This window comes from Homo sapiens, chromosome 6 (genome assembly GCF_000001405.40).
Source record: "Homo sapiens chromosome 6, GRCh38.p14 Primary Assembly".
Taxonomy (NCBI): Eukaryota; Metazoa; Chordata; class Mammalia; order Primates; family Hominidae; genus Homo; species Homo sapiens.
The window spans coordinates 132485314-132498667 of NC_000006.12; the positions used below are offsets into that span (position 1 = coordinate 132485314).

General features: G+C 37.6%; 1 protein-coding gene across 5 annotated transcripts in view, besides 1 other annotated feature; it reads right to left on the reverse strand.

Moving 5' to 3' along the window:
• STX7 (syntaxin 7) overlaps positions 1-13354 on the reverse strand; it is a 67606-nt gene that overhangs the window by 39447 nt on the left and 14805 nt on the right. The window lies entirely within an intron of this gene.
• Positions 5424-5663: an enhancer, noted in NCBI's record as "active region_25070". NCBI's record gives its function as "activates an Ori minimal core promoter by ATAC-STARR-seq in GM12878 lymphoblastoid cells {active_cell/tissue: GM12878}" and the evidence as "EXISTENCE:reporter gene assay evidence [ECO:0000049][PMID:35858748]".

Consider the following 13354-nt stretch of genomic DNA (forward strand, 5'->3'; position numbering starts at 1 on the left):
TCTGGCTTAAGTTAGCCTAATTATTTTATGATTCATCCATGCTGTGTATATCAATAGTGCATTCCTTTTATTGCTGAGTATTCCACTGTATGATACAACACTATTGATGGACATTTGTGTTGTTTCCCGTTTTTGTCCATTACAAATAAAGCTCCTATAAGTATATGCCCTACAAGTCTTTGTATGGGCATATATTTAATTTTTGTGTGTGGATAAATAGAAGTAGAACGGCTGGATAGTATGACAGGTGTTACATTTAGCTTTCTTAAATCAGTCAAACTATTTTACAAAGTGATGCCACTTTACACTTCCACCTGCAGTGTATGAAAACTTCTGTTCCTCTACATCCTCTCCAGCACTTGGTATGCTCCGTCTTTTAAATTTTGCCAAATAGGTTAATAGTGGTATCCGTGCTTTTAATTTGTATTTTCCTAATAACTAATGATGTTGAACATCTTTTTATGTCCTATTTGTCATCTGTATATCTTCTTTGTTGAAGTGTCTGTTCAAATAACAATATTGTCTTCTGATCCATGATCAAGGTATATCTTCCCAATTATATAAGCTTTCTTTAATTTCAGCAATATTTTGTACTGTTCAGTGTTCAAGTGTTTCACTTATATTGCCTTCTAAGTATTTCATAATGTTTGATGTTATTGTAAATGCCAGCTTTTTAAATTTCAAATTTTTATTTTGATTGCTCATTGCCAGTATAGAGAAATACAATTTATTTTTGTACATTGATCAGATACTTACTAAATTGACTTTTTTATTCTAGCAGGCTTTTTTAAATTGTAGATTCCATCAGATTTTCTACATAGACATTTATGTCTGTGAATACAAATGGTTTTAATTCTTTTTTTCCTAATGTGAAGTCCTTTTATTTGTTTATATTATCCATCTGCACTAGATGGATCCTCTAGTACAATTCTGAATAGAAGTGGTGAGGGCAAGACATCCCTGTCTTGTTCCTGATCTTATAAAGGAAAGCATTCTGTCTTTCACCATTAAGTGTGACACTCTGTAAGTTTTCATAGATGATCTTTTGTCAGGTTAAAGAGCTCACTTCTACTCCTAGTTTACTGAGAATTTTTGTTAGGAATGGAAGTAGAATTTGTCAAATGCTTTTTCTGCATCTATTGAGATGATTATATAGGTTTTCTTTTTAAGTTTGTTAACATAATGAACAATATTTATTGCTCTTTCAGTATTAAACCAACCCTGAATTCCTGGGATATACTCCACTTGTTACATCCTTTTAAAATATTGGTGATTTGATTAGTTAAATTTTGTTTAAATTTTCTGCATTTATGTCATGAGATGAAATGGATGTGTAGTGTTTTTTTCTGGGTTTTTTTTTTTTTTTTTTGAGACAGAGTCTTGCTCTGTCATGCCCAGCCTGGAGTGCAGTGGCGTGACCTCAGCTTACTGGAACCTCCTGCTGCCAGTTCAAGCGATTCTCCTGCCTCAGTCTCCCAAGTAGCTGGGATTACAGGTGCCCGCCACCATGCCCAGCTAATTTTTTGTACTTTTAGTAGAGACAGAGTTTCACCATATTGGCCAGGCTTGTCTTGAACTCCCGACATCAGGTGATTCGCCAGCCTCAGCCTCCCAAAGTGCTGGGATTACAGGCATGAACCACTGCACCCAGCCTAGTAGTGTTCTCTTCTTTTACTGTCTTTATCTGGTTTCAATATAAGGATTATGCTGACCTGCTAAAACGAATTCTTCAATTTTTTGGAACAGTTTGTGTACAATTAGTTAAATATTTGATAGATTACATTAGTGAAGATATTTGAGTCTGGTTCTTTGTGAGAAGGTTTTAAGTTGTAATTTCAATTTCTTGATATAGAGCTAGGCAGGTTACTGACTTCTTTTTGAGTGAACTTTGATAATTTGTGTCTATCAAGGAATTTATCCATTTCATCTAAGATGTCAACTTTATTGTCATAAAGTTGTTTATAATACTCTCTTAATTGCAGCCATAAAAAAAATGAGTTCATGTCCTTTGCAGGGATATGGATGAAGCTGGAAACCATCACTTTCAGCAAACTAACACAGGAACAGAAAAGCAAATACTGCATGTTCTCACTCATAAGTGGGAGTTGAACAATGAGAACACATGGACACAGGGAGGGGAACATCACACACCAGGGCCTGTCAGGGGATGAGGGGCAGGGGAGGGAGAGCATTAGGACAAATACCTAATGCATGTGGGACTTAAAACCTAGATGATGGGTTAGTAGGTGCAGCAAACCACCATGGCACATGTATACCTATGTAACAACCCTGCACGTTCTGCACATGTATCCCAGAGCTTAAAGTGAAATAAATAAAATAAAAACCATTTCAAAGGAAAAAACCTTTAAATATATGATAGATTCTGTAATGTACAGAATATATGTAAATATGTATAGATTTTTACATATAAAATATGTAGAATTTATAATATATCATCTCTCTCATTCCTGATATTAGTAATTTGTTTCTTCTATTTTTTTCATGTTCAGTCTGGTTAGATGTTTATCAGTTCTATTGATCTCAAAGAAATAGCTTTTGGTTTCATTGATTTTTTTTCTCCCTTCGATTTCCACTATGATTTGTATTTCCTTTGTTCTGCTGACTTTGCAATTTCGGTTGTTTTTTCTAAATTTCTTAGGGTGAAAACTGACGTCATGATTTGAGACCTGTCTTCTTTTCTAATACAGGTGTTTAGTGCTCCCTTAAGTACTGAGTTAATACCATCCAACAAATTCTGATATGTGATGCTTTCATTTACGTTCAGTTCAGAATATTTTCCAATTCCTCTTTTTGGCTTTCTCTTTGATCCATAGCTTATTTGAAATGTGTTTGGTTTTCAAACATTAGGGGATTTTCCAGGGATCTTTCTGTTACTGAGTTCTAATTTAATTTCACTGTAGTCAAGGAATATTATCTTGTATGACTTGAATCTTTTAAAGTTTGTTGAAACTCTTGATTAATGACAGGAATAGAGTCTATCTTAATAAATGTTCTGGGTGCACTTGAGAAAAACGTGTGTTCTGCTGTTGTTGAATAGACTGTTCTATAAGTGGCTGTCACCATCAAGGTGATTAGTACTTTGAATCTTCTGTATCCTGATTTTGTATCTACTTGTTTTATCAATTATTCAGAGAAGGGTACCGAAAGCCATAATTGTGGCTTTGTCTATTTTCCTTGCAGTTTTGTCAGTGTTTGCTCCATGTATTTTAAAACTGTCTTATGAGGGAGTTCTCAGTTTTTTTTAAGTGTTCAGCTTCTTATTTACATTTCTTGACTATCTAATGTGAACCATACTTGAGTGCTAATACTTAATAATCTATGATATAATTATAAGAATTGTAGAGATGATAAATATCAATTGACAAAAGATAGTTATAGCCCGTAATTGGGAGGGAGGAGTCAGCTACTATGTGCCAGTGACATGTATCTAGCAGTTGCATATAAGTGACATATTTAAAACAGGACTAGAAAAAAAATCTAAATATTGAAAGAAACAAACTCTGTTTTAGACTCCAATCTTTCCTCGTCTATCAAACCCTCTAGCTTTGTTAGAGGGTGGTTTGGAGTGTTAAACAAAGTGATATAGGCCAGGCGCAGTGGCTCGTGCCTGTAATCCCAGCACTTTGGGAGGCCAAGGTAAGCAGATCACTTGAGGCCAGGAGTTCGAGACCAACCTGGCCAACATGGCGAAAACCCATCTCTTCTAAAGATACAAAAATTAGCCAAGTATGGTGGCACACCCCTGTAGTCCAAGCTACTCGAGAGGCTGAAGCACAAGAATAGCTTGAACCCAGAGGAAGAGGTTGCAGTGAGCCAAGATTGTGCCACTGCACTCCAGCCTGGGCAACAGAGTGGGACTCTGTCTTAAAAAAAAAAAAAAAAAAAAAAAAAGGATGATATATATGTAAACATTTTAGAAATGGCATAGATCTTTGTAAGAATAAAAGTACAAGATGTTATTACTAATAAGTCTTGTACAATTAGAGTTAGGATCCAGGTTCGTTATAGGGTACAATGTGTAGAGAAAAATGTATCATTAGAAATACCCATGTCTATCTATTTTTCAAGAAAAACCAAGAAAAGTGTATTAAAATTCTAAAAAGTGTATCACAAGTAGAAAAACTTCCTGGAGAATGTGAAGGATGGCTACTAAAATAATTCTGGCTTTTCCCCTCTAGCACTAGTATATCTCATGCTCTGTCTTATGACCTGAAGAGAACACTTGTCTTCTTTGTGAGCAAAAGCACTGATCCAAACTGCAGAGACGAGAAAGTGTGGGAAGGGAGATGGAGAAGGATCTTCTAAAGGATGAGTCTCGAGGCTGGAAGCTCAATGGAGAGCATCCACCCGCAAGGCCCAACTACACTGGCTTCCTGTGCTCCCCTTCCCAGCACAGAATATCTGAAGGCATAGCCCGCTTCCACAAAGCAATCTCAAATTTACAACACACTTAATTTTCACTTTGTCATTGGTTCTCTTCCCGGATACTTTAAAGGTAGAAAGGCATAAAGGTCAAATCAGTGGAAATTTGGGGGCATTTTAAAGCTATTGTAGATTAATAAAGGGTTAAATCTGAGGGCACAGTTCTTAAAAATAAAGTACAAAAACAAGTCATCTAAAATTGTATGTAAACAATAATTTGGACTTCTAGATGGCTGGAACATTACAAGCTGGGTCTTTTAGCAAATTTATTCATCCTAACATTTTTCACATGGATCTGCTCAGTTTACCTGCTCTGAGGTAGTCTGGAATCAGAAGCAACAACGGTTCCATAACAATGTGATTTGTGTAAGAAGCAAACAGGAAAGGACTGGGCAGTGGTGAGGCCTTGCGCCTTGCAATTCCCCAACCCCGCTGACACATCTTTTGCCCATCATGATGAGCTTCCTTCCTGTCATCCACTCGAGGGCCCAATAATTCTCCTACTGCTCCAAAAGCAGCTGAATTGTTGTCACGAGTTCCCCTCTAGTTTACAGGCAGTGATTCCCAAACCTTTTACTTCAGTCATTTCTGATCAGTTCTAACTGCCAACACATGCTGGCAGCTGTTTCTAAAACACTGAAAATCGATTTCTGCTTCTTATAGAAACACGGTAGAAGCATGTTTCTGAATATTCCTCCTTCTTCCCTCCTCAAGGCATATTATAGAATGGGGGAGCAGGTAGAAAACCCATAAAAATTACATTTTCAGAGAAATTAACACAAAATGTGTAAATATGACCAAATTCTCAAAAACGTGTACATACGGCCAAAAGCAACAGAAAATAGCAGGTCCTGAGCAGGAAGCCGTATGGGTGGGGCGGAGAATAACCGGGGTTGCAGAGCTCCACACTGTCACCAGCAAATCATCAGAAGAGCTGATCCCACCCAGAGTGAGAATGGGCAGAAGCAGGGCTGAGAAGCACCGGGGACTCTGCTGGAGAAGGTGGGAAAAGGAGACACGGAACAGATTCAGGAGGCCATGGGCTGCCGACCCTACTCAAAAACCAGGTGGGGAACACCTTGGAAAGAGGTGTCTGTGCATCTTGGGGCCGATGAAGTGATTGGGATGACATCAGGGATGGAGCGGGAAGCCCTCCTACACCAGGCTAGGGGCTGAGAGGCAGAGGAGGAAAGAAACAGTCCCTCAGTGCAGCACAGCACAGCACAGCACAGCACAGCACAGCACAGCACAGCACAGCACAGCACAGCAGAGAGAATAGAGCCCTTGAGCAGAGAAATGGGCACTTCCCTCTCCCTCCACAGGAATCTCCTGCCAGGAAAATCAAACTCATTCCATTGAAAAACAAAAAAAAATGGGGAGAGTAACCACACAAAAGACTATTTTAAAATGTGGAAAAGAACAGTAAAACTCCCTAAAAGAACTCACAGCAGGAGAACATGTTGCCACAAAGTGAATATGGTAAAAATTATACCCCAAAATACCCACAGGATTAAAAGAAAAAAAAAAAACTCAATGAAGTAATCACAGTTTAAAGGAAGATCACAAAAGAACTCTTAAGAGATGGCCAGATAACATGCATGCACTGACTAACTAGAGACTGAAGGAACTCAGAAAAGAAGGACAAATTCAAAAATAAAGACCCCATGACAAGAAGCACAATAACAGACAGACGCAGAACACATCAGGCCTCATGATCACCACCCACTGCAGGTTTAGTCATTTTAGGTTCCTTGGGCCGCCCCTCACTCTTCATTGGTTGTAGTTTCTGGCTCGCTGCCATTCTGTCCAACATGACTCCTATCTTAATTTTTTTGTGATTTCAATACACAGGCTGACGATCCTTCCACCATCCTGCTGGCCTCCATTCTTTGCACACGTCTCCTACTGAAATGATTCTGTCCTCCACCCTCCCTCAGCCACACACTCCAAGATCCCATCAAACACCTTCTCATTACCAGGAACTGTCACTCTTCCATAATCTTGGTTTCAGGCAATCTACTTAGAAATCACCTCCTGCATGTCCAGCTCACTCCCCTGGCCCCAACTCCAACCTGCCATCCATTGATCCTGCCACTCTGCCACATTTCCTCACCTCCAATGTCGTCACCCACTCCCTAACCAACTTAAACTCTGGAGTCAGTCCATATCCAGACTCTTGCATATATCTTAAGCCCCTCTCTCCCTTCTTAACCACTTGACAAAATCTAAAATTCTGGTTGAGTCCAACATTGCACTGCCTCTGCACCAGCACTGCACTCCTCTCCTCATAACCCTTGCTCCACCCAGAGTAAAAGTCCTTACACCAGCCTGCAAGGCCCTACCTGACCTGGTACCAACTCTCTCTCTTCCCTCCTCTCCATTCCTCTAATGGCCAGGGGTGCTTAACTCTGAGGGCCCATGGACATGCTATTTCCCCATCTAAAATACTCTTTCCCTAGATACTGTGGGACACATTCCCTTCCTTCCTTCAAATATGTGCTCAACGAGGAACTCCTCAGTATGGTCCATCCCAACTCCCCGTGCACCCTATTTATCAAATGCAAACCCCTCTCCAGCACATGCCGGTATGTTTTTGTCATTGTTTCTTTTTGTAACACTTAACATCTCCTTCTAACATATGACATAATTTACTTATTTATTTTATGTCTGTCTTCTCTCATTAAAGGTTCACTCCATAAAGGCAGGTATTTTTATTTTATTCGCTGACATAGCTTCAGCATCCAGACAGTCCCTAGCACATCACAGGTGTTTAATAAATACTCACACAGGGAATGAACATAAATGCACAAGTAACACCCTGGTACAATATACAGCATGATCCAAATACACCATGTTATATGAACCAGACTCTCCTGGGCTCAAATACCAGCTTTGCCACTTAACAGTTGTACAAACTTGAGCAAGTGACAACCACTCCAAACCTAAATTTTCTCACCTGACCAGGGTGACTGGAAGATCAAAAACAATGCACAAAAAAAGGAATAAAAGATACCTAATACAAGGCACAAAGTAAACAGTTAATTAAAAATAGTTTTAAAATACTAGCTTACATATCTTCCAGAAAGAGATTATTGAACAAAGCAGGGTATATAGGAAATACCATACAACTAAAATCACTGGGTGTACTTGGGCCACCCTGCCCCACTCTCCTCCCATGCCCAGCAGCAAGGCAGTGTACTGGGTATTCACAAATAAGCAGGCCTTGGCTGGATATCTGTTGAAGGTTTCCATGCTCCCAAGCAGGAGAACAGTCCACAGACTAGGACAGTATCTTGGTGATGTCTGTGGGCATTTTCTTTGACTTTATATGGAATAAAAGGCAAACTATCTTAAAGAAGTAGGTGGCCATACTCAATATCATTAATACGTAACTTCAAATAATGATAATGATAATGATACTATAATGAGAAAGAAGAGTAGGAAAATAAATGTACCAAGACTTGCAGAATAATATCTTGTATGACTTCTAGTTTTTTCCTAAGCAACTAATAGGCACACCAATTAACAATTGCTTTAAGAAAAAAAGTTTGGATTAAGTATAAAGGGCAATCACTGTTTGATATGGTTTGGCTGTGTCCCCACCCAAACCACATCTTGAATTGTAGCTCCCACAACTCCCACATGTTGTGAGAGGGACCCAGTGGGAGATAATTGGATCATGAGGGTGGTCATTCCTGTGCTGTTCTCATGATAGTGAATAAGTCTCATGAGATCTGATGGATTTATAAAGGGGAGCTCCCCTGCACAAGTCCTCTCTTGCCCATGGCCATGTAAGAAGTCCCCATGCTTTTCCTTCGTCTTCCGCCATGATTGTGAGGCCTCCCCAGCCATGTGGAAATGTGATCCATTACACCTCTTTTTCTTTATAAGCTACCCAGTCTCAGGTATGTCTTTATTAGCAATGTGAGAATGGACTAATACACTGTTTAATAAAAACATTGTTCAGTAATTGGTGAAAACAACAAAAAGGGATCAAAGAGATGAGGACCATAATTGCCAAAATCACTACAGGAAACCAAAACTAAATGCCAAGCTTAACTTATACTGTTCGATTCCTACTTCAGCACCAAATCAACCAAAATGTACAGAGGGACAGCCTCACAGGGCAGTTGAGTAGCCACTACACAACTAACCATGAATATGTGTAATCAAAGAGAAACTACCCTGTCATACAATTACTGAGCATAGATCATGTTGGAAAATAACTAGTCATTATTATAGAAATTCTTAAATAAATGTAGTATCAAAACATACACATGAGGATTTTTATCACATGGTCACCATGACACTTTATCTACAGAGAACTCAGAGGATTCATTTGTGGAGGCACCACAAATGGTTAGGTTCTCAGGTTTTTAAACATATACACTTAGGATAAAATGTCTGTTAATGAAGGATTAATTAAAATCATTTAATGGCATAACCACATAAAAAAGTAAGCAACCAATAACAAGAGAAAAAAAAAGTAAGCACCAAAAAACCTGTATAGTGTGATCTCAATTTCATTAAAAAATGAACGAATAAAATTATGTGTAAATACTTCTGTAGCCAAGACATGAGCCCTTTATCTCTGGGGGCCAAGGTTTTAGTAGGAAAGTAAAAAAATAAGTAAACAATAATAGTACTTTAATTTACTGATAAAAGGCAATATAAAAACAAAACAGGTTAATGAGAAAAAGAATGACTGGAGGAAGCAAAATGATAAGGCAGGGAAGACATTGCTAAACAAGTGAGCTTTGGGCCCTAAGACCTGAATGCCAGAAAGAAACCAGTTACATGTAGATCTGGGAAGATGTCTGAAGCAGAAGAGGAGCAAGTGCAAAGGCCCTGAGGTGAGGATGAGCTGACTGTTCACTAAGCAGAAAGAAGATCTACCTGGTGGAATGTGGAGCAGCAGAGCAGCACCATGGGAGAGAGTGGTAGTTGACAAGTGGGGGCAGGGATCAGATCTTGAGGATATTGTGGGGCATGGTGGGGATTTATATCTGATTATAAAAGCCACAGAATTTAACTGTTGCCTTTCAAGCTATAGGATGACATGATCTGATTTACAGTTTTACAGGTTTACCTTGGCAACTATTTGGAGAAGACGGAAAGAGGCAGGAATGGAAGTGAGGAGAACAATTTGGAGACTGCAGTCATCCAAAGAAATAGCAGCAGCTTGAGCATATGTGGTAATGGCAGAGATGGAGAGACACAGACAGATCTGACCGGTAGAACCACTAAGATTTACACTTAGATTAAACAGAGGGAGTGAAGACACCCATTACTATGGTTTGGGGTTGGAACCAAGGGTAAGAAAGTTCATGTTCAGGGCAGAAGCATATGTATGGTTCACAGATAGGAGAGTGAGGGATAAAGCTCCTTGAAGCATCTTGGAGCCACATCTTAAAGATTTAGTTCATAAAACAAAGAATTCACTCATATCCGGCCATAAACACCATGTTCAGTCATAAAGGAAAAGTCACTGAAGAGAAGAAAAGTTGTCACACTCTGTTAAAATTTCCTTGGACAAGATAGCAACTTTCACATCTATCTCTGTTTTATGTTAGCACCTTAGGCATGAAGAAAATCACAATGAAATAAAAACTACTGAAGTTTTTCTCCTCTAAGTGGGGGAAAAAACCATCCAACCACATTTTCAGATGTGCAATCTTAGACATAAATATTTCAAACAGCATTTTAGGAGGAGGGAAGCAACAATTTTTCAACTCTTTTTCCTTTAATAAACTGCCTTCCCATCCCACCAACAGATTACCCCAGAAAAAAAGGAAACATTCTTAATTCCTGAGTAAATATATGGTTCCAGTAAATTCATTAATTTCTCAGGACTGGAGCTCCTTTTTTAAAAAAATATTTGCCCTGGCACCAAAAAAAAAAGTGATAATATTAGCTTCCCTTTTGTGCAGTCATGTGTTAAAATGCAAAAACAAGTGTCCCCTTCACCAGACCCTAACTAATTAAAAGAACTGTGATCATTCTAAAAGTAACAAAAGGGCTCACACTTTTACATAGACTTTTAATTTCATCTCAAAGAACCTTATGGGGACAGGAGCCATGCACCAATTCTTAATAAACAATTTTGAAAAGTATACTTGCAGCATAGGAAGCTAATTATAACACAGAGAAACCAAAAACATCTGTTTCGATTTTAAACTAAAGTCTATGCTGAACTAATACCTTTAATCTGTAGGAGAGATGATTAAAAATGAAACAAGTGAAGATTCAACAAAAATATTTTTCAGTCACCTTCTCTTAGCACTTAAAAGCTTACGTTCATACTTTATGTGCCCCTAGAAGGTTCTGTCTTTCCAAATTTTCTGGAAAAAACACACATCCACAAGCCCATGTGATACATGATGCATATTTTAGCAGAAACTTCTATACTCATAAATTCTGATGAGTAGATTTTATGTTTCCAATATATCTGTTTTATTCACTTTCCAACTTTAGCCACACTACATCTTCCTCTTTCAGGTTATTATTTTAAAAAAAAATACTCAAATGCGAGAATTCACATTAGCACTAGTGGAAAGGCTTACTATGTTATTTAGGAGTTAGGGAAATTTTTATCTCAAGGACTGTGTTTCATAGCTATTCTCATTTCTATTCACCAATTTCCTTCAATACAAAATTTTGTTAATTCTGACAGGATACAAACCTCTGTGCCCCAGCTTTCCCATCTCCTAACACTTAAAAATAATACATAAGCCTTGGTGGAACTCTAGCTAGTCTTGAGTGTGATGGCTTCTTCAATTATGGGATTTTATGAGCATGCATTATGGATTCAGATATGGCAATCAGCCTCTTAACAAAACATAGAATAATCTTGTACCTGTTAGAAGAGTTTCGGGACTCTTAAAAAACTTTGGTTAGAATTATTGCCTGTTAAAGTTTGAAGAGACCATAACCTAGCCCACAGAAAATACACATGAGAAAACCATGTCTTGGAAGGTTCGAGAGCTTACTCAAGGTCACACCGCTATTTGGATCTGATTTCAGGAAATGTACATGCAATCACATACAGCTTGCTTGATTAGAAATGTTTCCGATTATCTCATTGATTTCTTTAGCTCAGCTACACTCTAAAAACTCTGATTCTAATCAGAGAATTGCAAAGTAAATCATGAGAAACCTATGACTAAAATGAATAAAAAGCTGTAAACATCAAATGTTGACAAGGACTTTGAGCAGCACAAACTCTGATACACTGGCTGTACTCATATCTGGTACAACCACTTTAGGACACTGTTTAGCTGTTATCCACAAAAGCTGAACATAAACATATCCTATGAGCCAGTAACCCAATTCCTTCACATACATGCACCAAAAGAACATATAAGAATGTTCTGGGAAGCATTGTTCATCCTAGCAAAAAATAAAAACAAAATCAAAAACTGGAAACACTACAACCAGTAGAAAGAATAAATAAATTGTAGTATGTTTAAATATGGAATACTATACAGTAACGAAAACAAATGACCTGCAGCTGCATGGATGAATCCCACAAACATAATGAAAGAAGCCCAACATAAAATAATTCTATTTGATTATTGATTCTATTAGATTAAAAAAAGGAAAATTAATCAATGATGTTAACAAAGTCAGGACACTGGTTATCTCCGAAGGGCATGAAGGGGTGTAAGCACAAGAAGGTTTTAGGGGACTAAGGAATGTTCTATTTCTTGACATTTGTGGTAATACAATAGAAAATTCATTCAGCTATACACAAATAATTTGTCTAGTACTCAATGTATACATTATACTTCCATTTTTAAAAAGTCTGAAAAAGCAAGCCTGTGTTTACTTATGTGATGTATTTTGATATATTGATTCTGCTGCTTTTAAAAACATGAGTTTCTCTGTGTGTTCTCAAGACATTTTTCTATGTTGTTTGTGTTTGGGCAAGGATGAATGGCCCTTGTGAAAATGCCTACTCTGGTTTACCTATATGATAGGTACCTTATACTTATAAACCCACAAAGGCTTGCTTATCCTTATACTATACATCACAGCTAGGAGTATGTCTGACAGAAAATATGGAGAAATGATAGAAGGTAAACAGGCATAGATGTTGCTAATAAAAATGTCACTTTTGAACATCTCAATCCAAAGTTTGAAAACTAAATCTAAGCCTTTCTAAGAGGCATGGTGATCTTCTAGACCTGTGATAACAAACGATTTTGTTTGCCTGCCAACTCCAGTCTACTGGGAATGGTTGCCTGGAGCCTTGGGTTGAAAAAGACTGGATGGCATGCTAGGCCAGCAACAGAGAATACTGTCTATGCCATGGGTAAAAGATGGAGCATGGGTGGCACAAGGGCCTTGTTGACTGTTACGGAGTCAACGCTTTCTCTCATAGGATACAAATATTTTCTTAATCATTTTAAACTGTCTACAGAGCCTGTAATAAAGTCATAGTTTGTTATAACTATTTACCAGTTTTATTATTTTAATATAATTAAATTTCTAATTTATTTTACATGTAAGCATTTACAATATTTAAATATTTTATGCTTAATATAAATTATATCATTATAATATGGTTTAAATGCTTTACTGGTGAAACAAATTCAAAAGACTGCAGATGGTCTTAAACCAAAAAAATGGTTTAAAAATATTTTTGACTGCCATTTTCCTTTTTTGGGGGTATAAACTAAACCATAAAACTTAATATTTTATAAGTGTTTATTTCATCAAAACTAATGTGAAAATAAACTTTCCCACTGCAACACTCAAGAAGACTTTAGCTTTAGTTTAACAGATGCTCATATTCTAATTACAGGTTACCTTACTTACAGCATCTTCTCTTTAGGTTTCTTTTGTAAAATCAGATAATTGTACTGACACAATTTCAAAAGTTGCAAATGTAGTGTGAAGAGAACCTAAA